We start from the raw sequence: 26,234 nt of genomic DNA on the forward strand, positions 1-26,234 counted from the left end.
TCAGTGCTCAATGGTGCCCAGGCTGGAGTGCAGTGGCGTGATCTCAGCTCACTACAACCTACACCTCCCAGCCGCCTGCCTTGGCCTCCCAAAGTGCCGAGATTGCAGCCTCTGCCCGGCCGCCACCCGGTCTGGGAAGTGAGGAGTGTCTCTGCCTGGCCGCCCATCGTCTGGGATGTGAGGAGCCCCTCTGCCTGGCTGCCCAGTCTGGAAAGTGAGGAGCGTCTGCGCCCGGCCGCCATCCCATCTAGGAAGTGAGGAGCGCCTCTTCCCAGCCGCCATCACATCTAGGAAGTGAGGAGCGTCTCTGCCCGGCCGCCCATCGTCTGAGATGTGGGGAGCGCCTCTGCCCCGCCGCCCCATCTGGGTTGTGAGGAGCGCCTCTGCCCGGCCGAGACCCCGTCTGGGAGGTAAGGAGCGTCTCTGCCCGGCCGCCCTGTCTGAGAAGTGAGGAGACCCTCTGCCTGGCAACCACCCCGTATGAGAAGTGAGGAGCCCCTCCGCCCGGCAGCTGCCCCGTCTGAGAAGTGAGGAGCCTCTCCGCCCGGCAGCCACCCCATCTGGGAAGTGAGGAGCGGCTCCGCCCGGCAGCCACCCCGTCCGGGAGGGAGGTGGGGGGGGTCAGCCCCCCACCCGGCCAGCCGCCCCATCCGGCCAGCCGTGCCATCCGGGAGGGAGGTGGGGGGGTCAGCCCCCCGCCCGGCCAGCCGCCCCGTCCAGGAGGTGAGGGGCGCCTCTGCCCGGCCGCCCCTACTGGGAAGTGAGGAGCCCCTCAGCCTGGCCAGCCACCCCGTCCGGGAGGGAGATGGGGGGGTCAGCCCCCCCACCCGGCCAGCCGCCCCGTCCGGGAGGGAGGTGGGGGGGTCAGCCCCCCGCCTGGCCAGCTGCCCCGTCCGGGAGGGAGGTGGGGGGGTCAGCCCTCCGCCCGGCCAGCCGCCCCGTCTGGGAGGTGAGGGGCGCCTCTGCCCGGCCGCCCCTACTGGGAAGTGAGGAGCCCCTCTGCCCGGCCAGCCGCCCCGTCCGGGAGGGAGGTGGAGGGGTCAGCCCCCCGCCCGGCCAGCCGCCCTGTCCGGGAGGGAGGTGGGGGGGTCAGCCCTCCGCCCGGCCAGCCGCCCCGTCTGGGAGGTGAGGGGCGCCTCTGCCCGGCCACCCCTACTGGGAAGTGAGGAGCCCCTCTGCCCGGCCAGCCGCCCGGTCCGGGAGGGAGGTGGGGGGGTCAGCCCCCCGCCCGGCCAGCCGCCCCGTCCGGGAGGGAGGTGGGGGGGTCAGCCCTCCACCCGGCCAGCCGCCCCGTCTGGGAGGTGAGGGGCGCCTCTGCCCGGCCGCCCCTACTGGGAAGTGAGGAGCCCCTCTGCCCGGCCAGCCGCCCGGTCCGGGAGGGAGGTGGGGGGGTCAGCCCTCCGCCCGGCCAGCCGCCCCGTCTGGGAGGTGAGGGGCGCCTCTGCCCGGCCGCCCCTACTGGGAAGTGAGGAGCCCCTCTGCCCGGCCAGCCGCCCCGTCCGGGAGGGAGGTGGGGGGGTCAGCCCCCTGCCCGGCCAGCTGCCCCGTCCGGGAGGTGAGGGGCGCCTCTGCCCGGCCGCCCCTACTGGGAAGTGAGGAGCCCCTCTGCCCGGCCAGCCGCCCCGTCCGGGAGGGAGGTGGGGGGGTCAGCCCCCTGCCCGGCCAGCCGCCCCGTCCGGGAGGTGAGGGGCGCCTCTGCCTGGCCGCCCCTACTGGGAAGTGAGGAGCCCCTCTGCCCGGCCACCACCCCGTCTGGGAGGTGTGCCCAACAGCTCATTGAGAACGGGTCAGGATGACAATGGCGGCTTTGTGGAACAGAAAGGCGGGAAAGGTGGGGAAAAGATTGAGAAATCGGATGGTTGCCGTGTCTGTGTAGAAAGAAGTAGACATGGGAGACTTTTCATTTTGTTCTGCACTAAGAAAAATTCTTCTGCCTTGGGATCCTGTTGATCTGTGACCTTACCCCCAACCCTGTGCTCTCTGAAACATGTGCTGTGTCCACTCAGGGTTAAATGGATTAAGGGCGGTGCAAGATGTGCTTTGTTAAACAGATGCTTGAAGGCAGCATGCGCGTTAAGAGTCATCACCAATCCCTAATCTCAAGTAATCAGGGACACAAACACTGCGGAAGGCCGCAGGGTCCTCTGCCTAGGAAAACCAGAGACCTTTGTTCACTTGTTTATCTGCTGACCTTCCCTCCACTATTGTCCCATGACCCTGCCAAATCCCCCTCTGTGAGAAACACCCAAGAATTATCAATAAAAAAAAAAAAAAAAAAAGAAAACTCCCCCTTTCCTAGTAAAATCTATCCTTGAATCCCTGAATCTACACCTGAGATGTTAAGAAATTCATTTGCAGCCTGGTGAGCAACAGGTGGCATCTTCAAAGAACCCACTTTGCACACTAGGTGGTAACTTCGAAAGTAACACCTTGTATTTAACAATTTGGTTGTTTTTTTTTTTTTGAGACACAGTCTCGCTCTGTTGCCCAGGCTGGAGAGCAGTGGCGCGACCTCGGCTCACTGCAACCTCCGCCTCCCGGGTTCAAGCGATTCTCCTGAATAGCTGGGATTACAAGCGTGCACCATCACGCCTGGCTAATTTTTGTACTTTTAGTAGAGACAAGGTTTTGCCATGTTGGCCAGGCTGGTCTTAAACTCCTGACCTGAAGTGATCTGCCCACCTCAGCCTCCCAAAGTGCTGGGATTACAGGTGTGAGCCACGACGCCCGGCCTGTATTTAACAATATTATTTTAAAATCATAACAATAAGGCCTACAGAAGGCACCTCTCCATTCCCCCTATATTTTCAAGTCTCTTTAATACTTGAAAGGGACTCTAGTTCCTCTAGTACAAAAGGGAACTAGATTTGAGCTATGGCTCTCCTTGACAGAAGTTGCAAAATAGCAAATCTTTAACATATGAAAAGTACAAAACAACTCTAAGTGCTTGCAAAGAAAGGGTGCTAAGAGATCGCTGAAGTTTCCAAAAAGTATACAACCCTTTCATATGAAAGGGAGGGTGACTCAAAAGCATCAGTAAATACTGGAAGCCCCGTGAGGTTGTCAGGGAGTCCAAAGTTAAGTATCTAAAGAAGGAAAAGGGTTCCATGATGTTCCTGCACTAGGATGCTGATAGAGTCACAGAGCCATGTCAGATGGTGAGAGACAAAACTTTACTCCATTCTAATGTCATCCAAACTCAAGAATGCATTCACTACATTAGCCTGGAAAGTGGGGATCTGCCAACCTCAACAGAGTCAACTAAGACTGAAGACCCTATTGAAAAACAACAAGAAAGTCCTTTAGACAGCAATGCTAGCAACGATGGATCTAAAAACTCCTACTTCATCATGATGAAAAGGTTAATAAAGGATCATGGCTTAGCAATGAGCAGCAGTCTCCTAAAAAATCATCTCTCTCCAAGGGCCAGGGATCATAATGACAACAATCAGTTGAAGAAAAACCAGGACCAAGCAAACCAAAGACGCACCAGTAAACTGCACAGGGGACAGCATGTGGTAAGTTGAATAAAATAAACATGGCAATTCCTATTCCCTTGCTGGCTATTGCCCAAGTTTAATTTGGCATATGAGGACATAGGCCATGTCACAGTTATCCTAGCAAAACAAATCTGAGAACACCTACTTGGGGCCATTTTAATTCTGCCTCTGATAGTCTACCTTCCTATAGAATATCACCTGACCTTGAATTACATTACAGATCTCTTAGTCACTATATTACTCTTTAGGAAAGATATAAATTTTACTATCTAAGTCAAAGCCCCTGCGTCATGATTATTCCAAAGTTTCATTGTCACTGGCCTATGACTAGGAAACTAATTTTATAATCAGCATAAAACTATTTATCTCACCTTTGGCCAAGTAGCCAGTGACATCATTCTCCTATATCAAGAAATCAGTCTGTGAACAGATGAACCACGATATAGGCCTAGTAATAATCTTATGCACGTTAAAACTGTTAGTAGATCTTAGCAAAAACAAAACAAAACCCAAACTATTAAATCTATTAAATAAAACATGTTCTAGGACTATCTTAAGAGTAAAAAAAAACAAGAAACAATATGAAGATGTAGAGGTGGCTACAGATGCCCAAGGCTCTTGGTTTTCTAGTAACCCTAGTTTGGAAGAGAACTGCAAGAGAATATACCTTATCCATATGGAAGATCAAATCCAATTCACACACATTTTCGAAACACTTATCCAGAGTTTCCACAAAAACCTAGAAAACAAGGAGAAATAGATAAAGAAGAGAAATAGGAACACATTCACAGCTTTATCAATGTCACATCTGAAAGTAAAAGGGGCTGTCACAATACTATTTACTTTATGATAAATCTCAAAAATTAAAACACCTACCTTTTGTCTCCAGCATTAGCTGATCACCCTACTTATCTCGATTTAGAGGGAATAATCTAGGACAGGAAAACCTTGTTTTCAGCATAGCAACACAACCAGCAGACACATGTGGCTCTTTCCCCCTTTATAAGATGCTAATTTATGGTAGGGCATGGTGGCTCATACTTACAATCTCAGCACTTTGAGAGCCCAAGGCAGGAGGATCACTTGAGGCCAAGAGCTCACGACCAGCCTTGCTAACAAGACGAAAACCCATCTCTACTAAAAATACAAAAATTATCTGGGTGTGGCGACACGAGCCTGTTATAGTCCCAGCTACTTGGGAGGCTGAGGCACGAGAATAGCTTGAATGAGAATCATTTGAGGTGGAGGTTGCCATAAGCAGAGATCGCACCACTGCACTCCAGCCTGAGTGACAGAGTGAGAGTCTCTCAAAAAAAAAAAAAGAAAAAAGAAAAAAAATTACATAAAAGAATAACAAATTAAAAAAACCAACTACTTACAATACTATGTCCTCAATGAATACATGTACAAAAAATTTTTCATTATTACAGGGTTAACATAGCTGTGTTTTAATTTCAGCCAAAATTAACTTCAAAACATCTTCCCTTTTTAATTTTTTTGGTCAGTTATTTAGCCTACAAAATACCTTCCTATGAATAAATTTAATTGACGTGTTTACAACTTAAAATTTTTTTTTAAAAGCCCTGAGCTTACTTCTCTATAGAACCTTTTAACTTTTAATAAAACATAACAGAAAAGTGTACAAATGACAAGGGCACAGTTTAATGAATTTTCAGAATGAACACACCATGTAACTACAACCTAGGTATCTATCTATAACTGTTTAATTTCTCTCAGACAATGACCTCATTTAAACAATCTCATTGTCAGCAGTGTCATGAATTGTTCGGCACTGCATGAAAATGGGTCTTACTTGAGGCCAGCAAGTGACAGAGACCAGGCACACCGTTCCACTGTAGCACAAGATGGGTGCTCATAGGCAAACCACCCTGCAGCGGCTGCTGGGGAGACAGACCCACTTGCCATGAGGAACCAACGCACACTATTGGAGCTGATCCTGCTCTGTCTCTTCTCTATGTAAGTAAAGCTTTATCCAGTGTTTGCACTTTTTCCTTGCCGACTCTGATACCAAGATGCAATGGGCAAGAGCATTTAGATTCCTTTCTTGAGACTGGTAACCAGTGCACTGTATTTTGCCAGATACCAACCATTTTGGAAAACTATGACATTATGTATGCATGCTCTATGATCTAGGAATTCTACTCCCAGATAACATATCTAACAGATATATACATGTATGCCAAAAACCACATACAATAATTTCATATTAGTGCCATTCATAAATCTTTACATTTTTAACAGTGCCAGAATATTTCACTATAAGGACACATAGTTAAATGGGTCTATTTCTCAATCACTATGCTGGGTACTTGGTAAGCCCTTATAATCCTGCAGTTCAAGTCCTTCAGTTCTGGGAAATTTTATCGAATTATTTTGTTGAGAATTCCCTCCTTTCCACATTCCTAATCAATCTTTTTGGAGCTGCTTATATTCAAGTATTGGACCTCTGTCTGTCTTCTTTTTTTTTTTTTTTTGAGACAGACTCTCGCTCTGTTGTCCACGCTGAAGTGCAGTGCCACGATCTTGGCTCACTGCAGCCTCTGCCTCCTGGGTTCAAGCAATTCTCCTGCCTCAGCCTCCTGAGTAGCTGGGATTACAGGCATGCACCACCACGCCTGGCTAATTTTTGTATTTTTAGTAGAGACGAGGTTTCACCATGTTGGCCAGGCTGATATCCAATTCCTGACCTTAAGTGATCCCCCTGTCTTGGCCTACCAAAGTGCTGGGGTTACAGACGTGAGCCACTGTGCCCGGCCTCTGTCTTATTTTCTCATCTTTTCTCTCCCATTTTCCATCTCTGCCCATTCTGAGACAATTGATTAACTTGATTTTCTAATACTTCAGTTGAAGTGGGTTTTTGTTTGTTTCCATTTCCTCTCATTTTTTATTTCTAAGAGACCATTTTGTTCATTTTGTGTGAGCAACAAGGCTGTGAGTGTTTTTGTTTAGCACCCATTTAGCAATAAGACATAAATGGGTCTTATTTTATTTCTAATTAATAAATGGGTCTTATTATTATTTAAAATAAATGTCTTATTTCTCTGTGGCTTTTTTTTTTTTTTTTTTTTTTGAGACAAGGTCTCACTCTGTCACCCAGGCTGGAGTGCTGTGGTGTGATCTCAGAACACTGCAGCCTCAGCCTCCCGGGTGCAGGTGATTCTCCTGCCTCAGCCTCCTGAGCAGCTGGGACTACAGGTATGTGCCACCATGCCTGGCTAAAATACTTCGTATTTTTAGTAGAGATAGGGTTTCACCATGTTGGCCAGGCTTTCTCTGTAGCTTAAGAATAGGGTTTTGGGTTTTTTTTTTTTTTAAACTGTTTTCCTTTCTTTATATGGTGTCCATTTTTAAGTTGCTTTTTATTGTTTGTTCATTTTATCTCCTTCTTCTATGTTAGAGGTTTTCCGCAGATGTCTGATAATCCTTTGTTTTTCATTTGTTACAAGAATAAAAGGCTGATTGAAAGCTCTACAATCATGGATATTTCTTGCCCACCTCCATGGTTATTTGCTTCCCTAGCGAAATCTGTCTCACGTGTCCATGTGAAGAGACCACCAAACAGGCTTTGTGTGAGAAACAAGGCTGTTTATTTCACCTGGGTGCAGTCTTTCTAGGTATCAAAATTCATTGTAAAGCTTTGTTAACTAAAATAGTATAATACTAAGGCTGGGTGAGGTGGCTCATGCCTATAATCCCAACACTTTGGGCAGCCAAGACAGGAAGATCCCTCGAGCCCAGGAGTTTGAGACCAGCCTGGGCAACATAGCAAAACATCGTCTCCACAAAAAAATAAAAATAAAAAAATTAGCCAGGCATAGTGGCACACACCTGTAGTCCCAGCTACTTGGAAGGCTGAGGTGGGAGGATTGCTTGAGCCCAGGAATTCAAGGTTGCAGTGAATTATCATTGCACCACTGCATTCCAGCCTGAGTGACATACCAAGACCTTGTCTCTAAATAAATTTTAAAAATAAAATAAAAGTATAATTCTAAGATGGGAATATAGATCAGTGGGGCAGAATATAAATTACTGAAACATACATGTTTATAAAATGCAATTTTAAAAATAAGAGTCGTATTTTAAGTTGGTGGGGAAAAGACAAGCTAACTGATAATGTTGGAACAGTTATCCTTTGGGGGAAAAATAAAGTTACATATTTCAATGCAGACATAAAAATATCTAACAGATATTAATGAGCTAAATGTAAAAAAATAAATTAAAAAAGCAACGGCAGATCCCCTGGGTGCCATCCAGGCCCCCGGAAGGAGCTATTCAGTCTGTGGCAAAGCTTTGAGGTGGCTGGTACTGCTAAAAGCGGCACGTGGAGGTGCCCCCTAGCGGCCTGAGCTCTGTTCTGCGGCAGCCAGAGCACATGCGAGGAGAGCCAGACCACAGTTTGCAGCAGCACCATCCCAAAAGGCTGTTTTCATTAAAGATGTTTCATGAAACTAAGACTGGGTTCTCAAGATAGGGTAGTTATCCAGGACAAGATGGACTAGCCCCAGAAAAAGACATCCCCAGATAGTGGGTGGAAAAAGAACTGTCAGATGCATCTGTTTTTCTTACTCAAAATATTATTCAAGATCACAATCAAGGTCAAGAGAAAGAAAACAAGAAAGAAAACGAAGGACGAAAACACAAAGCGCATGCTGATGGGCAAAGAGGCTGAACTGAAGACATTGCAGACTCAGGTAGGAAAATAATAAGCCTATTTCATGATGAGGCAAGAAGACAGGAATCCTACAACAAATCCTCTAAGAAATACACTTCTGAGGAGCATAATGACAAAGAACATTATTCTGATAAAGGAAGAGAGGGACTAAATTCATCTGAAAATGGGCTGGGCGCAGTGACTCACGTCTGTAGTCTCAGTACTTCGGAAGGCCAAGGTGGGCAAATTGCTTGGGCTCACAAGTTTGAGACCAGCTTGAGCAACATGGCAAAGCCCTGTCTCTATAAAAAACACAAAAGTTAGCCAGGCGTGGTGGTGTGTGCCTGTGATTCCAGCTACTCGGGAGGCTGTGGTGAGAAGCTTGAGCCGGGGAGACAGAGGTTACAGTGAGCTGTGATTGTGCCACTGCACTCCAGCCTGGGCAACAGAGTGACATGCTGTCTCAATAAATAAATACATTCATCTGAAAATGATGAGGACAGACACAAACACAAAGAAAGCCATCAAGAAGCAGAAGTCACTCAAGATACAGGTCTCGTGAAAGGCATCATCGTAGTAGAGGGAAAAGAAGTAGTCTCAATCCAGAAGCAGAGAGAAGAACGATCATGATCTAGAAGCAGGAAAAGAAAACCATGGGCTGGACATGGTGCTTCACACCTGTAATCCCAGCACTTTGGGAGGCCAAGTCAGGCAGATCACCTGAGATTCAGGAGTTTGAGACCAACCTGGCCAACATGGCAAAACCCTGTCTCTACTAAAAATGCAAAAATTAGCCAGGCGTGGTGATGCATGTCTGAGGTCCCAGCTACTTGGGAGGCTGAGGCAGGAGAATCACTTGAACCCAGGAGGTGGAGGTTTCAGTGAGCTGAGGTCACACCACTGCACTCCAGCCTGGCCAACAGAGTGAGACGCCGTCTCCAAAAAGGAAAGAAAAAAAAAAGAAAGAAAGAAAACCATGGATCAGATCTTGCTCCTGTTCAAGATAAAAACTACATCTGTGTTGCGTGTGAAAAATAAGTAAATAAATAAATATGACATGCATAGGAAAGAAGCAGAAGTAGTACAGGAAGCAGAAGACAAGAGAGAAAGAAGAGCATTGAGAAACTAAGATTTAGCAGAAGTTTAAGCCAGATTTCCAGTTCATCTCTCTTCAGAGGCAGAGGCACAGCAAAGGATGCATAAGAAGCTTTAGCTGGGAGGATGGACTAGGCAAAGAAATTACAAGAACAGCAAGAAAAAGAAATAGTTGGGATGGGTGTTGGGAAAAAATTTTTTAAAAGAAAAAGAAATCATTGAAAAACAAAAACAAGAAATAGCTCCAGTTACTAGAGATTTTGTTCTCAATGTTGCTGCCCTGTTGGCATCAGGAATGCCAGTAACTCAGATAGCTATGGCAGCTCAAATGGGAGCCCTGCAAGCAACAGCTTTGGCAGAGACAGAACAGCTGTACCTAGGGATTATGACACAGCAGCTGGAAATCCAGTGAAATTTGCTGAACAAGAGGAAAAAAGTCAAGGCAAGAAAAACTGGGCAAACTCCCCGTCTGCTGAACTATGACTTTGGGAAACAAGGACCAAAATGTCATATATATGGAAATTAGTGGGTATTAAGAGTGAAGATGAAGCTAGATGTAGCTCACTTGATGAAGAAAGTTAGAAGACTTTGAAGCAATAGGAAGTACTGTATTTAGAAATTTAGATGCTCAGTATGAAAAGGCAAGATCACAGACCCACACATAAAGAGGAACGGGATTGGGTTTCACATCTTCAACGTGAGAAATGGATGCAGTTTGAAAAAGATCATACTTTTAAGGTTTGGGAACTTATAGCCTTCTTGTTCTGATGTCAGGTCCTTGTTCCCAAAGAGCTAGTGTTCCAGTTTGTAGGGTGTTGCACTGGCTTTTCTTCCTCTCTCTTTTTTTAAGCTGTGGTAAAATACACGTAACATAAAATTTACCATCATAGCCATTTTTTAAGTGTACAATTCAGTAGCATTCGATAACGTTCATAATGTGCAACCATCACCACCATCCATGTTCATATCTCTATTTTATAAACCTGAAACATGGCCGGGCGCGGTGGCTCATGCCTGTAATCCCAGCACTTTGGGAGGGCGAGGCAGGTGGATCACTTGAGGCCAGGAGTTTAAGACCAGCCTGAGCAACATGGTGAAAACCCCCAGCTACTCAGGTGGCTGAGGCACAAGAATTGCTTGAACCTGAGAGGTGGAGGTCACGGTGAACCAAGATCATGCCACTGTACTCCAGTCTGGGCAACAGAGTGAGACTCTGTCTCAAAATAAAAAAAATTAAAAAAAAGAAAAACACCAAAAAACTGAAATGCTATTCCCATTTGCATTGGCTTTAATTTATTGAAAAATAAGATTTTTTTCATAAATATCAGATCAGTGATATAGGTGTTGTAATCATGTTAGACTCGCTTTCACTAAACCTGACAGGACTATAGAAGGACAATATTTTTTGGTTCGTGAATTCTACTTTTTGAACATAAAGTGCTGTAGGTAGAATGAAATCTCATACATGCATTTTTTTGTGTCTGTTATCTTGTGTACTTTTGTACTTAACCTTGTACAGTTATTTTCATCTTTTAAAACATAAAATAAATGTTATGCAGATGTTCGTTAGAAGATCTTGCCACTGGTACATAATCCAGCACAAATAAGCTGGGTGGTGATGATAATAAAAATGGTTTTCTCCAAAGGAAAAAAAAAACAACAGCAAAACTGTAGGAGAATATTTTCATACCTTGGGAGCTATGAAGAAAACAACTTCCAGATGTACCTACATAAAGCAAAAAGACCAATGGAGTAGGAGAAAATATTTGCAATAAATATAACAAAAAAAGAATATGCATACAATTAGGAAAAAATCTAACTTACAAACAAACAAAACAAATGAGCCTTTTGAAAAGTGGACAAATATCGTAGACATTTCCAAATACCAAAGATACGCAGCCTCACCACTATTCAGGGAAACTCTAGTGAAAACAATGAATTTGCATTTTTTCACCCATCAGATTGGCAAACATTTGAAAATATTCTTATTTTTATCTTATTTTTGAGACAAGGTCTTGGTCTGTCATGCAGGCTGGAGTGCAGTGGTATAATCATAGCTCACTGCAGCCCTGATCTCCTGGGCTCAAGCAATCCTTCAACCTCAGCCTCCCAAGTAGCTGAGAATCACAGATGCATGCTACCACCCGAGGCTAATTTTTGTTGTTGTTGCTGTTTCTTTGTTTGTTTTGATACAGGGTCTCTCGCTCTGTCACCCAGGCTGGAGTGCAGTGGCATGATCTCGGCTCGCTGCAACCTCCGCCTCCCAGGTTCAAGTGATTCTCCCGCCTCAGCCTCCTGAGCAGCTGGGATTACAGACGTCCCGCACAATGGCCCAGCTAATTTTTGTACTTTTAGTAGAGACGAGGTTTCACCATGTTAGCCAGGCTGCTCCAACTCCTGACCTCAAGTGATCTGCCTGCCTCAGCCTCCCAAAGCGTTGGGATTACGGGCGTGGGCCGCCGCACCCAGCCAGGCTAATTTTTTCGTAGAGACAAAGTCTCACTATGCTGCCCAGGAAGGTCTCAAACTCCAGGGCTTAAGCGATCCTCCTGCTTTGGCCTCCCAAAGTATTGGTATTACAGGCGTGAGCCATTGCACCCAGTGTGAAAATATTCTTAATATTCAAAAGTCAGTGAGGTTATGGGTAAACAGATACATTCTTATTACATTCCATTAGTACAAGTATCAAAGGCAAAGCCTTTGTTTGGAGGCAATTCAGCAGTATCTATCCATTTAAAAAACACATGCCCTTATTAAAGCAGCAATTCCAATTGAGAAATCTGTACTATGGGAATTAACATATGTGCATATAGATGCACGTGGAAGGATGTCATTGCAGCATCCTTTACAATAGCAAGAAATTGGGAAAAACATAGATGCCCACAAGTAGCATGATGAATCAAAGATGATGATACATCCATATTATGGAAAATCACACACCGTCAAAAAAAACTGCATGTGGAAAAAGCTCCAGAACTTAAATGATGAAAAAGAAAGTTTTAGAACTATATATAGAGTATGATTACTTTTAATTTTTATTAATTTTTATTTTTTGGGGTCTCACTTTGTCACCCAGCCTGGAGTGCAGTGGCACAATCTCGGCTCTTTGCAACCTCCACCTCCTGGGTTCAAGTGATTTTCCTGCCTCAGCCTCCTCAGTAGCTGGGACTACAGGCACCTGTCACCACGCCTGGCTAATTTTTTTGCATTTTTAGTGGAGATACAGTTTCACCATGTTGGCCAGGCTGGTCTTGAACTCCTAACCTCAAAGTTAGGTTGCAGTGAGCTGAGATCACGCCACCGCACTCTGGGCGACAAGAGTGAGACTCCAAATTATATAACAAACTTACATAGTACTGGAGGCATTATAAATTAACATACTCTTCATTTTTTTTTTTTTTTTGAGATGGAGTCTCACTCTTGTTGCCCAGTGTGCAGTGGCATGATCTCAGATTTTAGAGTTATTAGAATGTGATAAAATGTGCATCTTAGGATATATAAAATATGATATTATAAGCCAGGATCTAGACTTCACTGGAGTCTGGGTGACGAAGTGAGACTCTGTCTCCAAAAAATAAAAAATAAATAAAAGAAACTTTAATGTAAGATTCAAAAGAAGAAATGAATAAACAAGAGGGAAATGCTAACTGTTAATTCACTTCTAATTATAATTATAATCCAACAGGGACTTTTTGGGACCTTTACAAATTATTCAAGAATACATATGGATGAACAAATAGTTATAAATATCAGAGAACGTACTGAAAAACAACTGCCACAAAGGGGAAATAACTAGTCTTACTAGGTATGTGAAACTATATTGAAACAATAAATAGCCAGGTGCAGTGGCTCACGCCTGTAATCCCAACACTTTGGGAGGCCGAGGTCAGGAGTTTGAGACCAGCCTGGTCAACATGGTGAAACCCCCGACTCTACTAAAAATACAAAAATTAGCCAGGTGCGGTGGTGGGCGCCTATAGTCCCACCTATTCAGGAGGCTGAAGCAGGAGAATCGCTTGAACCCAGGAGGCGGAGGTTGCAGTGAGCCGAGATTGCGCCACCGCACTCCAGCCTGGGCAACAGAGCAAGACTCCGTCTCAAAAAAAAAAAAAGAAACAATAAATAAAACAACATGAAAGTAATGCAGAAAGAAAAATGTAACTCAGTTAACTCAGTAGAATAAAATGAAGAAATGAAGGGTAAAAACTAAATCCAATTATGTATTAAATGTTTATTCAACCATTGTTAAAGGTGTGATGACTACATGCTAGGAACATACCATTGTTGACACCACAGTCAACAAGTCATGTTCTTATCCAGTTTATATTCTGGGTGTGGGAAGAACAAGGAGGCAAATGAAACAAGATATTTTCTATTGTCCTAAGTGCCCTGAAGGAAGTAAACAGGATGATGTGACAGGGGTTACTTCAGATAGAGTGCTAAGAAAGTTTGTCCAAGGATTAAAATTCGAGCTGAGACATAAATGGTAAAAGTCAGTCATTGAAAGAGCTGAAGTGAAGGAACCTAGATGAGAGTATTCCAGGGGACAGAACAAGTATAAAGGCCCAGACACAAAAATGTACTTGTGTTTGAAGAACAGCAAGAAGCCTAGAGCATAGTGAAGATGAGCGTGTATACGGTGAGGGGAGAGAGAGGCAAAGGAGCCGGACCATGTTGGGCCTTACAGGCTGTAATAGGGGGCTTGGGTTTCACTCTGAACTTAATACAGTATACAACATTAGAGTTTCTTCAACAAGGGGAGGTAAAAATGGATTATTTACACTTAATATAATAGGTTAGACAATAATTAGTTAAATAAGTTTTAAAATAAACTCAAAATACGCAGATTTACTTATTTGTTGATGATAAGGCAAACCATTATTTTATCTAACAAAGAAAAAAAATGCTGCCAATTATAATTGTTAAGATGTCACCCACTACAACACACATCCAGATTTTAGAGTTATTGAAGTGTGATAAAATGCGCACCTTAGAATATACAAAATATGACATTATAAGCCAGGATCTAGATTTCACTGGACAAGTGGTTCAATTATATTATAGAAGGCTGACATGGAAAACAAAATTATAAACCCACACGTGGAAAAAGGAAGCATGATTAATAAAAATTCAAATGTGTGAGGTACCTCTACCTGGGTAGAAATTTAAAATGACACATTTCAGTACTGGAGTTACAAGGAAACAAACTTATATAGTACTAGAGGCATTATAAATTAACATACTCTTCATTTTTTTTTTTTTTGAGATGGAGTCTCACTGTTGTCGCCCAGGCTGGAGCGCAATGGCACGATCTCAGCTTACTGCAACCTCCACCTCCCGGGTTCAAGCAATTCTCCTGCCTCAACCCCCCAAGTAGCTGGGATTACAGGTGCATACCACCACGCCCGGCTAACTTTTTGGATTTTTAGTAGAGACAGGGTTTCACCATGTTAGCCAGGCTGGTCTTGAACTCCTGACCTCAGGTGATCCGCCCGCCTCGGCCTCCCAAAGTGCTGGGGTTACAGGTGTGAGCCACCGTGCCTGGCTAACATACTCTTTCTAAATATCTATCTAGCAACATGCATTATGATTAGAAATATTAATTCCCTTTGATCCAGGCATTCTGTTTTTAGCAGAATAGGCACAACCGTTTGCATAAAGACTTAGAGTAGTTTTATTCATATTAATTAAAAAAAGAAACAAAGTATCCAGTGTCTGTTATCCTAGGTGCTCTGCTACCTGAATCAGCTGAGAACACTCATTTTACCCCCCTGTTCTGCTTTGACCTACTCTTTTTTTTTTTTTTGAGACGGAGTTTCGCTCTTGTTGCCCGGGCCAGAGTACAATTTCAGCCCACCACAACCCCCGCCTCCTGGGTTCAAGAGGTTCTCCTACCTCAGCCTCCTGAGTAGCTACGATTACAGGCATGTGCCACCACACTCGGCTAATTTTTTGTATTTTTAGTAGAGACGGGGTTTCTCCATGTTGGCTAGGCTGGTCTCAAAGTCTCCTGACCTCAAGTGATCTGCCCGCCTCGGCCTCCCAAAGGACTGGGATTACCGGCGTGACCCACTGTGCTTGGCCAAAAGCTACTAATTTCCATATGTTAAACTTGTATTTAGTCACCTTACAGAACTCTATTATTAGTTCCAATTGTTTCCAACTGATTTGGATTTTCTAGATAATCAATTCATCTGTAACTATTATACATTCTGAAAACTAGTAAAGCAAATCTCCCATCACTGTCCTTTTTCCCTAGAAATATACTTCTGCATTTCTTGGCCACTCCTTTTCCCTGATAAATTTTGCCTTTACTGAGTTCTATAAACTCTCCTGACGGAATTATACTTGGTTTTCCATTTGATGTATTGCTCACCACCTTTGGGACTACTGTCATCTTTGCTTGACTCTTCCCAACAACGGGAGAGTTTGTAGCTCCATTTGTTCCAACTATTCCTTTGTTTTTTCTTTAAGATTTTATAATTTTATTGGAATCAATGTCAAGTATTCCATACCAAGTTAATTCCCAAGCACTAACTATCCTTTATTATTACTGTAAATGAGACTTCTTTAATTATGAATTTTCTAGCTGTTTTCTCAGAAATAGGAAATTTAATTTTGTTGGCTTTATCTCATATTCTGTCATTTTGCTCATATCATTTCCTTACTTATAATTCTTTAAAAATATTTTCTATGTCCATAATCCGGCCACCTTACATTGATAACTTACCTCTCTTTCTTTCTTTACTATGTCACTTCTTCATTTGTTTTTGTATCACTCACTACAAATGTTTGTTAAAATTAGAGTAAACAATAAAAGATACTCCTTTTTTTTTTTTGAGACAGAATCTCGCTCTGTCACTCAAGCTGGAGTGTAGTGGCATGAATATGGCTCACTGAAACCTCAACCCCTTGGGCTCAAGCAGTCCTCCTGCTTTAGCCACATGAGTAGCTGGGACCACAGGGGCACACCACCTGATTTTTTATAGAGACTAGGTCTCACTATGTTGCCCAGGCTGGTCTTGAACTCCTGAGCTCAAGTGATCCTCCTGCCTCAGGCTCCCAAAGGGTTGGGACTATAGGTATGAGCCACTGCACCTGGACGAAACACCCAACAAGAGCATTCATAAATGCCTACAGATTTCACCCTTGAGATAACATTGGCTCTGGTTCTTGGCTCTTGGTTTTGAAACTAAAATTGATTGCTTCAAGGAAAGTAAACTAGGTGATAAGGGGAAAGGGGAAGAAGGATATTTTTCACTATACAGGTTGAACACTTAAAATCCAAAAACCTGAAATCCAAAACACTGCAAAATCCAAAATTTTTGAGTGCCAACATGATGCTCAAAGGAAATGCTTATTGGTCATTTCAGGTTTTGGACTTTCAGATTTAGGATAAGTATAATGCAAATATCCCCAAATCTGAAAAAGTCCAAAATCCAAAACACTTCTGGTCCCAAACATTTCAAAGGGATATTCAACCTGTATACTCATAGTGTGCCTCTGAATTCTGAACCACATAACTATATTCATTTCTTCAGAAAGTAAACAGTTACATTAATAAATGTGTACTTTTAATCAAAAATGCTTCTTATTCCAGTTTGAGTGTATTTAATATAATTTGTATAATCGCTCCTCTCAGCAACTACTAATTTTTATTATATTAGTTTTTCTTACTGCTATAATAGACTATTAATTTTTCTTTGTTATACTGACTTGCATTCTTGGGATAAATACTATTTGGACACAATGTATAATTCTTCTATTTAATAGTATGCAGTTTTCCTGCTAAAGAAATAATTTTAGGGCTAGAAAAGAATATCTAGTATCTTTGTAGATTAAAAAAAAACCACTCAACACACAGAAGAGACAAAATGCAAAACAAACAAAAACCCTTAAGGCCAATAAAGCCTAGATGATTTGTTTAAGGTCACACTGCTTGTTAATGGCAGAGTCAAAAAGAAAAAAAAGGCAGGTCTCACAATCCCTTGGTTCAACTGATTGTCGGCTAAGATTTTACTTAGTAAGTAATTTTGTACCAGTACTAATACGCAATATTTGACGAACATCTTCCCCTTTTTTTTTTTTTTTGAGATAGAGTCTCACTCTATCACCCAGGCTGGAGTGCAGTGGCGCAATCTCGGCTCACTGCAACCTCCGCCTCCCAGCTCAAGCGATTCTTCTGCCTCAGCCTCCCGTGTAGCTGGGACTACAGGCGCATGCCACCACACCCAGCTAATTTTTTTTGTATTTTTAGTAGAGACAAGGTTTCACCATATTGGCCTGGCTGGTCTCGAACTCCTGACCTCGTGATCCTCCTGCCTCGGCCCCCAAAGTGCTGGGATCACAGGCGTGAGCCGCTGTGCCTGGCCCATCTTCCTTTTTAGAGTCAGGTTTTTGGATGATAACCAATTTATTCCATAAAATGCGCTTAGGTAGTAGGATTCCTTGTTCTAAGTTTTAAAAAATAACTTAATGTAACATCCAGGTTTTAATGTACTTCAACTTTAAAAAATTCTACTGTGACCCCATTAGGGAGTCAGTTCTTTTTTTAACATCTATTATTTCATCCTAATATTATTTCAGTGCCTTTATGTTGACCTCATTTGGGCAGTTTTTTGTTCTTGTTTTTTTTTTTGAGATAGAGTCTCGCTCTATTGCCCAGGCTGGAGTGTAATGGTGTGATCTCAGCTCACTGCAACCTCTGCCTCCCAGGTTCAGGTGATTCTCATGCCTTGGCTACCCAAACAGCCAAGCAGCTGGGATTACAGGCATGTGCCACCATGCCCAGCTAATTTTTCTATTTTTAGTAGAGACGAAGTTTCACCATGTTGGTCAGGCTGGTCTCAAACTCCTGGTCTCAAGTGATCCACCCTCCTTGGCCTCCCAAAGTGCTAGGATTACAGGCATGTGCCACTGCCCCAGGCCAGAGCAGTTATTTTTGTAGTCGGCTATTTCAAATATATTGGTAGTATAACTATGTATATATCATCCCTTTAAAACAATGTTTTCTATTTCTGACTTCTATCTTCTTTATATCAATTAGGCCAACTATTTATTAATTTTTATTGTCTTTTCAAAGATCAGATGGGTCCAGTGGTTCACACCTGTAATCCCAGCAATTTGGGAGGCCAAAGTGGGAAGACTGCCTGAGCTGAGATGTTCGAGACCAGCCTGGACAACATGGTGAGACTTCATCTCTAAAAAATTCAAAAAATTAGCCAGATGTGGTGACGCATGCCTGTAGGCCCCATTACTCAGGAGACTGAGGTAGGAGGATGGGTTGAGCCTGGGAGATGGAGGCTGCAGTGAGCTGTGATCACACTACTGCACTACAGTTTGAGAGCAAGACCTTGTCTCAAAAAAAAAAAAAAAAAAAAAATCAAACTTTTTAGTTCCTATTATTTTTACATTTTACTTATCTGATCTTACCAAATCCAATGTACAATGTACACTAAATATTTAATAAGTGTCTATTAAATTATAAAGTTAGAGGCCGGGCGCAGTGGTTCACACCTGTAATCCCAGCACTTTGGGAGGCCGAGGCGGGCGGATCACAAGGTCAGGATATCGAGACCATCTTGGCCAACATGGTGAAACCCTGTCGCTACTAAAACTACAAAAATTAGCTGGGCATGTGCCTGTAATCCCAGCTACTCGAGAGGCTGAGTAAGGCAGGAGAATCGCTTGAACCAGGGAGTCGGAGGTTGTGGTGAGCTGAGATCGTGCCACTGCACTCTAGACTGGCAACAGAGCAAGACTCCATCTCAAAAAAAATAAATAAATAAAAAAGTAAAAAAAGTTATAAAGTTAGTCTTTTTGTATTGTTAATACAAATCTCCAAGGTCCATTTTCTCTAATAACTGTGGCCCAATTTTTTTTTCTCTTTTAAAAAATTTTCTTTATTTTTTATAATATGGAATGCTTCACCAATTTGCATGTCATCCTTGCATAGTGGCAATGCTAATCTTTTCTGCACTGGTACACTTTTAGAATATATGCTGCTGAGGCAAGCACTCCATCCCAATTTTTAAAATACATTATCACTATATTTCCTTAATTTTCAAATAAACTCGTATTATGTACACATTTCTATAGCCTGCTACATACAGTTAACAGTACTATAAAGCACATTCTCACATTTGAATTCTACAACCTAATATCACTTTTCAGATGGTAGATTCATGACCCAAACCCAGATTTTCTGATGCTAGATCTTGAGCTTTTTTTCTTTTTTTGAGACAGGGTCTCACTCTGTTGCCCAGGCTGGAGTGGAGTGGCACAATCTTGGCTCACTGCAACCTCCGCCTCCTGGGTTCATGCGATTCTCCCACCTCAACCTCCCAAGTAGCTGGGAGTACAGGCATATGCCACCAGGCCCAGCTAATTTTTTGTATTTTTAGTAGAGACATGGTTTTACCATGCTGACCACGTTGGTCTCAAATTCCTGGCCTCAAGTGATCCACCCACCTTGGCCTCCCAAAGTGCTGGGATTACAGGTGTGAGCCACTGCACCCCGCCTTGAGCTCTTTCTATTATGCTGATTATCAATGTCCAATCTGACTCAGGTTTTAAGAAAGTATTTAAAAATTATCTCCGAGATGCATCTGTTTTAGATGGGTTCATCTTTATTTATATTTTTATGTATAAGTGAATACGACGTATGAAATTTTTAATTATCCTACAAAACTATATATTCAAAATTTCAATTTATTTGTTCCAAGATATATTTAGCTTTTAAACTTTTATCTTAAGAAAACAAATTTTGTTCTAAGCATTTATTTATGTATTTATTTTTATTATTATTTTTTTTTTGAGACGGAGTCTCGCCCTGTCACCCAGGCTGGAGTGCAGTGGTGCGATCTCGGCTCACTGCAACCTCTGCCTCCCGGGTTCAAGCAAGTCTCCTGCCCCAGCCTCCCGAGTAGCTGGGATTACTGGCACGTGCCACTACGCCCGGCTAATTCTTGTATTTTTAGTAGAGACCGGGTTTCACCACATTGGTCAGGCTGGTCTTGAACTCTTGATCCATCTGCCTCGGCCTCCCAAAATGCTGAGATTACAGGCATGAGCCACCGCACCCGGCCTATTTATTTTTAATTTATTATTTTTTTGAGACGGAGTCTCACTCTGTTGCCCAGGCTGGAGTGCAGTGGCATGATCTCGGCTCACTGCAACCTCCACATCCCAGGTTCAAATAATTCTCCTGCTTCAGCCACCTGAGTAGCTGGGACTGCAGGTGCACACCACCATGCCTGGATAATTTTTGTATTTTTAGTAGAGATGGGTTTTCACCACATTGGCCAGGTTGGTCTCAAAATCCTGACCTCAAGTGATCCGCCCGCCTTGGCCTCCCAAAGTGCTGGGATTATAGGCATGAGCCTATAAGCCCATAGGTGGAAAAGAAAATTCTATAGCTGTAAAATGTACATGTCTGGCCTGTTGTAAGCATTTAAAGTTTACATTTTATAGCTATAGAATTTTCTTTTCCACAATTGTTGTTACTTAAGTTTTCAATGTAGCATCTATTTGAGTGCTTTCTACCTATGGGCTTATTCAAGTACTTAAAAGAAGCTCATCTAGAATCTCACATATAAAACGATGAAATAATGCTAAATAAATAGTTCCCAAGCTAGGGTCCCTACACATCTCAGTTTTCATGAAGGTAATAAAGACAATCTGTAAGCAGACTGTGGGCCACCACACCCGGCCAAAGTATAAATTTGTAAATGAAAACCAAGGGCAGTGCAAGGGCTAGATAGAAACCAATAAATCTAAAAGTGCTGAGGGTTTCTCAGGAGCTCTCCCAGAGCACCATCTGGTGGACATCTGGCAACTTTTACTAGTATCAATAAGGAGATGGACACAAGGTTCTACAGGCTGGTTACTCAAAAATCCCGTGGAAACTCTCTAAAGCTGCTGCCATCATTAGCTGACTACACATACCTGGATGAGGTCCAAGATTCCAAGTTCACTCTCTGAGGAATCCACACAAAATACAAAGTAGAGGGTAGCATAGTGCCGGTAGATCAGTTTGTAGTCAGAGCCACCAATCAAACTGCAGAAGATGGGAAACATTTAAATGCCCACAGCTTAATTAAACACATCAAAAAGAAACCTTGTGCCAAAGAATGAGAAAGGACCCACTGGAAAGGAGAAGGCCAAACGCTAGAAGCAGGCCATTCTTACTAGGTGAATGGCAACCAAGTTTGGCAGAGGTACCTAAAGCCACCTTACCTCACCTCTTCTCCTGCCTATCCTCCCGGGGATCAATCATCTAAATGAGCAATATCAGAAGCACAATAATTGAACTGCGCCCCAAAGAGAATTGTGTCTCTCCCTGAGCAGATCATGGTGAGACCAGCTAAAGTTGCATCAAGTACCCACCTGACACTTGAGTACTGTCAGAAGATGCAATAATGAAGGCCACTCACAAGTGGATATATGGGGAGAAAAATGAAGCTGACAGTTTACCTTCCACCCTCCAAGAAGTTACAGATGTTGTCATCCCGCTTGAGGACTAGATGGAAAGTCTCTCGAACAATCTGCTGTTGAATTTCTTCTGGCTATGAAACAAAAAGATAAGTGAATCAGTGGGCAAGCCTGAAAAACTACATCCCATCCATGGGGATGGACAAGGGAAGAAGTGTTTCTAAGCTGGGAACATCTAAACATTTAGTACTTGTTTCTAGAAATGATAAAAATGATGAGAAAAAATAGGAGTGAATCTATGAAAGATGGGTGACAATGCTCTGATACAGGAATTAAGATAGGGTATATTTACCTAAATATCTAAGTCACTAACCATTACTGTCCTATAGGTAAGCTGATATTTAAACAAGAAAAGGAACATTGATAAACTCTCATACAAAGTCAGAGAATAACTGGAAGGCCTGATCCTGAAATATTTTGTCTTCCCCTGGAAAACATCTATGACAAAGATATAATAAATCTCAACAGGTCTAACATTTTAAGAAGGTCAAGATGTGGGCCAGGCACAGTGGCTCACGCCTGAAATTCCAGCACTTTAGGAGGCAGATCACAAGGTCAGGAGTTCGAGACCAGCCTGACCAATATGGTGAAACCCCATCTCTACTAAAAATACAAAAAAAAACAAAACAAAATAAAACAAAAAAACAATTAGCTGGGCGTGGTGGCGCATGCCTGTAATCCCAGCTACTCGGGAGGCTGAGGCAGGAGAACTGCTTGAACCCAGGAAGCGGAGGTTACAGTGAGCCGAGATCACGCCACTGCACTCCAGCATGGGCGACAGAGTGAGACTCCATCTCAAAAAAAAAAAAAAAAAAAAAAAAAGGTCAAGAAGTAATCATGTAAATGTTTTAAAAAGTTATATTGGCAAATACAGCTGCCATCTTTTGTACTGGTAATATAGATACTACATATAAGATGCTGTGTTACTCACCAACAAAGTATTATTGAGAAAAATAGATTACAGATTAAAATTTTGAACAGTTACAAATAAAATGTATTATTATTATTTTTAGACAGAGTCTTGTTCTGTTGCCCAGGCAGTGGTGTGATCACAGCTCATTGCAACCTCCACCTCCGGGTTCAAGCGATTCTCCTGCCTCAGCCTCCCCAGTGGCTGAGATTACAGGTATGTGCCACCATGCCCGGCTAATTTTTGTATTTATAGTAGAGATGGGGTTTCACCATGTTGGTCAGGCTGGTCTTGAACTCCTGACCTCAAGTGATCCACCTGCTTTGGCCTCCCAAAGTGCTGGGATTACAGGTGTGAGCCACCATGTCTGGCCTTATTTTTTCACTTACTACGTGCATAAGAAAGCTCAACTCTGATGAAATCACTTTGATAACTCACCTTTGATTTCTAATTATACATATGAGTTTCAGAAGAAGTATGGTTAAAAGGGTAAGAGAGGGAGAAACCAGCAATTAAGACAGATAATAACTTAAAGCTCTAGAGCATTGCTTCTCAAATCTTCATTTGCAATGAATCAGCTGTGAATGCTGTTAAAATACAGATTCGGATTTAGCAGGTATAGGTTAAGTCCTGAGATGCAAGTCTAGTAAGCACCCAGGCAATAACATTTCTGCTGGTCTGGGGACCACACTTTGAGTAACGAATCATAAGAAAACCTTCAAATTGGACTTGCCCCAAGAGTTAGAAAATAGGTTCAAGTAATTTTAATCCCTTTCTTTCTATAGCCCTGAATTTAGCTTTGAAATGGTTATTTAAAAGAAACAGAGAGGGGAAAAAAGGGAAAACGTAATTGTGGGGAAATTACTTTGACTCACATGGGTATGGAATGGCTCACAGTATTTACTGACTGAATGAAAACTTGCTAATCATTGGTCACTACAAATTTGAGTAAATTAATCACTATTTTCCTCATTTCCATTTAAAGAACAAACAAAGCTCACAGATGACAGGATGCTGTAGGAGACGAACTCTATATATGCAAAATACAAAACATGCTAAGCATCAGCACTTTTTAAAACTGACAAAGACATCTTTTGAACTAAAGCCTTTTATCTGACTCTGGGGGAAGTGGCAGCAGTGGGGAAGTGGTACGAAATGATGAGGCTACCTAATTTCTAGTTCAATAAAAAGGTAAACTACCAATTGCTTACATGCCTCAGTGATTTTAATAACCCCTCATATCTTTTTAGTACTCTGTAGTTTTCAAGGTACTTTCATCCATGAGCTCATGAGGTCTTATAAAAATCCTATGATCCAAAGATACACGAATGGGCAATAAGCACATGAAAAGATGCTCAACATCATTAGTCATTTTGGAAACTGAAATCAAAACCACAATGAGCTGGGTGCGGTGGCTCACGCCTGTAATCCCTGCACTTTGGGAGGCCAAGACGGGCAGATTACTTGTGGTCAGGAGTTCGAGACCAGCCTGGCCAACACAGCGAAACCCCATCTCTACTAAAAATACAAAAATTAGCCAGGCATGGTCGTGGGCACCTGTAATCCTAGCTACTCAGGAGACTGAGGCAGGAGAATCACTTGAACCCGGGAGGCAGAGGTTACAGTGAACCGAGATCACGCCACTGCAGCCTGGGAGATAGAGTGAGATTCAGTCTCGGAGGGAAAAAAAAAAGCCACAGTGAGATACCACTTTACACCCACTAAAATGTCTTTAACCAAAAATAAATAAATAAATAACGAATGGCAGGGATGTGAAGAAACTGGAATCATTATACATTGCTGATGGAAATGTAAAATGGTGCAGCCACTTGGAAAATTTGTCAAATAGTTTGCAGTTTCTCAAAATGTTCACCACAGTTACCATATGATCCAGCAATTCTACTCCTAGGTATATAACCAAGAGAAATGAAGTCATAAGTCCACATAAAAACTTGCACAAGAATGTTCATAGCAGCATTAATTAGAAGAGCCAAAAAGCAGAAATATCAACTTATAAATTGACAATCAAAATATGGCATATCCATATAATGGAATATTATTCAGCAATAAAAGAAATGAAGAACATCAGATACATGCTACAACATGGATGAATCTTGAAAACATTATACTACATGAAACATGGCAGACACACAAAAAACCACTTATTTATGATTCCATTTATAGGCAACGGAATAGGCAAATTCCATTTGCCATTCTGGAACTGGCAAATTTAGAGGGAAAGAAACTCTCTGGGGCTGGGAGAGTCATGGAGAAATAGGGAGTGACTGCTAATGGGCAGAGGTTTCTTTTTGGGGTGATGAAAATGATCTAAAATTGATTGTGGTGATGGTTACACAGCTTCTGTGAACATGCTAAAAAACACTGAATTGTCCCCTTTAAATAAGTAAACTGGGGCCGGACACAGTGGCTCATGCCTGTAATCCCAGCACTTTGGGAGGCTGAGTCCGGTGGATTGCTTGAGCCCAGGAGTTCAAGACCAGCCTGGGCAACATAGAAAGACCCCGTCTCTATAAGTAAATAACATAAAATAAATAAGTAAACAGTATGGCATGTTAGTTTTATCTCAGTAACCCTGTTAGAAAAAAACTAGGGGGGAAATTTGCATACACACAAATGCAAATACAAATAGTTACGCTGAATACTCATATACATACATATATATATATACTTTTTTGTGTGTGTGTGTGATGGAGTCTCGCTCTTTCGCCCAGGCTGGAGTGCAGTGGCGCTATCTTGGCTCACTGCAAGCTCCGCCTCCCGGGCTCACGCCATTCTCCTGCCTCAGCCTCCTGAGTAGCTGGGACTTGGAGGTGCCCGCCACCGCGCTTGGCTAATTTTTTGTATTTTTAGTAGAGACGGGGTTTCACCGTGTTAGCCAGGATGGTCTCCATCTCCTGACCTCGTGATCCGCCCGCCTCGGCCTCCCAAAGTGCTGGGATTACAGGCGTGAGCCACCGCGCCCGGCCTGAATACTCATATTTTTACCTCGATGTAATCTACTTAATAAAATGTAATCTAGCTTTAAAAATCTTATGAAGGAGTAAAATTATTTTTTCATTTCTAATTGACAAAAGACAATAAAAGTCTGAAAAGGGTTTATTAACTTGTCAACAGACGCAAGAGTAGAAAAGGTGGAGCTGAAGCCTGAACACGTTTTCTGGCTCTTTCCCCTCTTCAGTTCCACCAGTCCCCCAATTATGTAACATTTTGAAACCCTGCCATGAAGAAATATAATCTTCGAAGACAGGAAGCAAATACTGATGTTTATGTGTTTGCAAAGGAACGTGTTGGGAAAATTCAAATTTACGTAATCACTTATTGAGCCCTTATGCGGCAGCATTTATAATTTCTCATCATTTTTCCACTTTTAAACTGATTTTCTTCAACCCTAAGAGTGAAGGGTATCTAGTCTCTGGAAAGTCCCAGCCAACACTGAAGCAAAATAATTCCAAAAAAAAAAGAACTTTTCCAGTTCTGGCTATAACAAAAACTTTCAGAAACTTAATATTTCTTCCTCATGAAACTGTGGTCAACAACCAAAAAG

General features: G+C 42.7%; 2 protein-coding genes, 1 non-coding gene and 2 pseudogenes across 5 annotated transcripts in view, besides 1 other annotated feature; 1 reads left to right on the plus strand and 4 right to left on the minus strand.

The window, feature by feature from the left end:
• Nucleotides 1-26,234, minus strand: part of ARPIN-AP3S2 (ARPIN-AP3S2 readthrough) — an 82,354-nt gene that overhangs the window by 36,709 nt on the left and 19,411 nt on the right. Inside the window, exons 6-8 of the mRNA NM_001199058.2 lie at nt 21,742-21,833; nt 21,214-21,325; nt 4,168-4,239 (exon numbers count right to left, since the gene is read on the minus strand). Coding sequence (NP_001185987.1) covers nt 4,168-4,239; nt 21,214-21,325; nt 21,742-21,833 — 276 coding nt within the window. The remainder of the gene's footprint in view (nt 1-4,167; nt 4,240-21,213; nt 21,326-21,741; nt 21,834-26,234) is intronic.
• The window catches only part of AP3S2 (adaptor related protein complex 3 subunit sigma 2), a 63,396-nt gene that overhangs the window by 36,709 nt on the left and 453 nt on the right, over nt 1-26,234 (minus strand). The window contains exons 2-5 of one of the 3 annotated variants that reach the window (NR_023361.2): nt 21,742-21,833; nt 21,214-21,325; nt 9,999-10,117; nt 4,168-4,239 (exon numbers count right to left, since the gene is read on the minus strand). Coding sequence is in view for 1 of the 3 variants with exons in the window: in NM_005829.5 (NP_005820.1) it covers nt 4,168-4,239; nt 21,214-21,325; nt 21,742-21,833 (276 nt within the window). In the remaining 2 variants the exon portion in view is untranslated. The remainder of the gene's footprint in view (nt 1-4,167; nt 4,240-9,998; nt 10,118-21,213; nt 21,326-21,741; nt 21,834-26,234) is intronic. The other 2 variants (NR_037582.2, NM_005829.5) reach the window with 2 other exon arrangements.
• LOC100631255 (arginine and serine rich coiled-coil 2 pseudogene) lies at nt 9,486-10,099 on the plus strand (annotated as a pseudogene).
• Nucleotides 16,624-16,723, minus strand: MIR5009 (microRNA 5009). Its single transcript, NR_049807.1, has one exon. It is a non-coding gene; the product is annotated as a microRNA 5009 (primary transcript).
• RNU6-1111P (RNA, U6 small nuclear 1111, pseudogene) lies at nt 19,178-19,284 on the minus strand (annotated as a pseudogene).
• Nucleotides 24,976-25,725: an enhancer, noted in NCBI's record as "H3K4me1 hESC enhancer chr15:90435515-90436264 (GRCh37/hg19 assembly coordinates)". NCBI's record gives its function as "activates a minimal SCP1, AML or CMV promoter by ChIP-STARR-seq in primed H9 embryonic stem cells {active_cell/tissue: H9 hESC(primed)}" and the evidence as "EXISTENCE:reporter gene assay evidence [ECO:0000049][PMID:30033119]".

Source organism: Homo sapiens, chromosome 15 (assembly GCF_000001405.40).
Source record: "Homo sapiens chromosome 15, GRCh38.p14 Primary Assembly".
Lineage (NCBI taxonomy): Eukaryota > Metazoa > Chordata > Mammalia > Primates > Hominidae > Homo > Homo sapiens.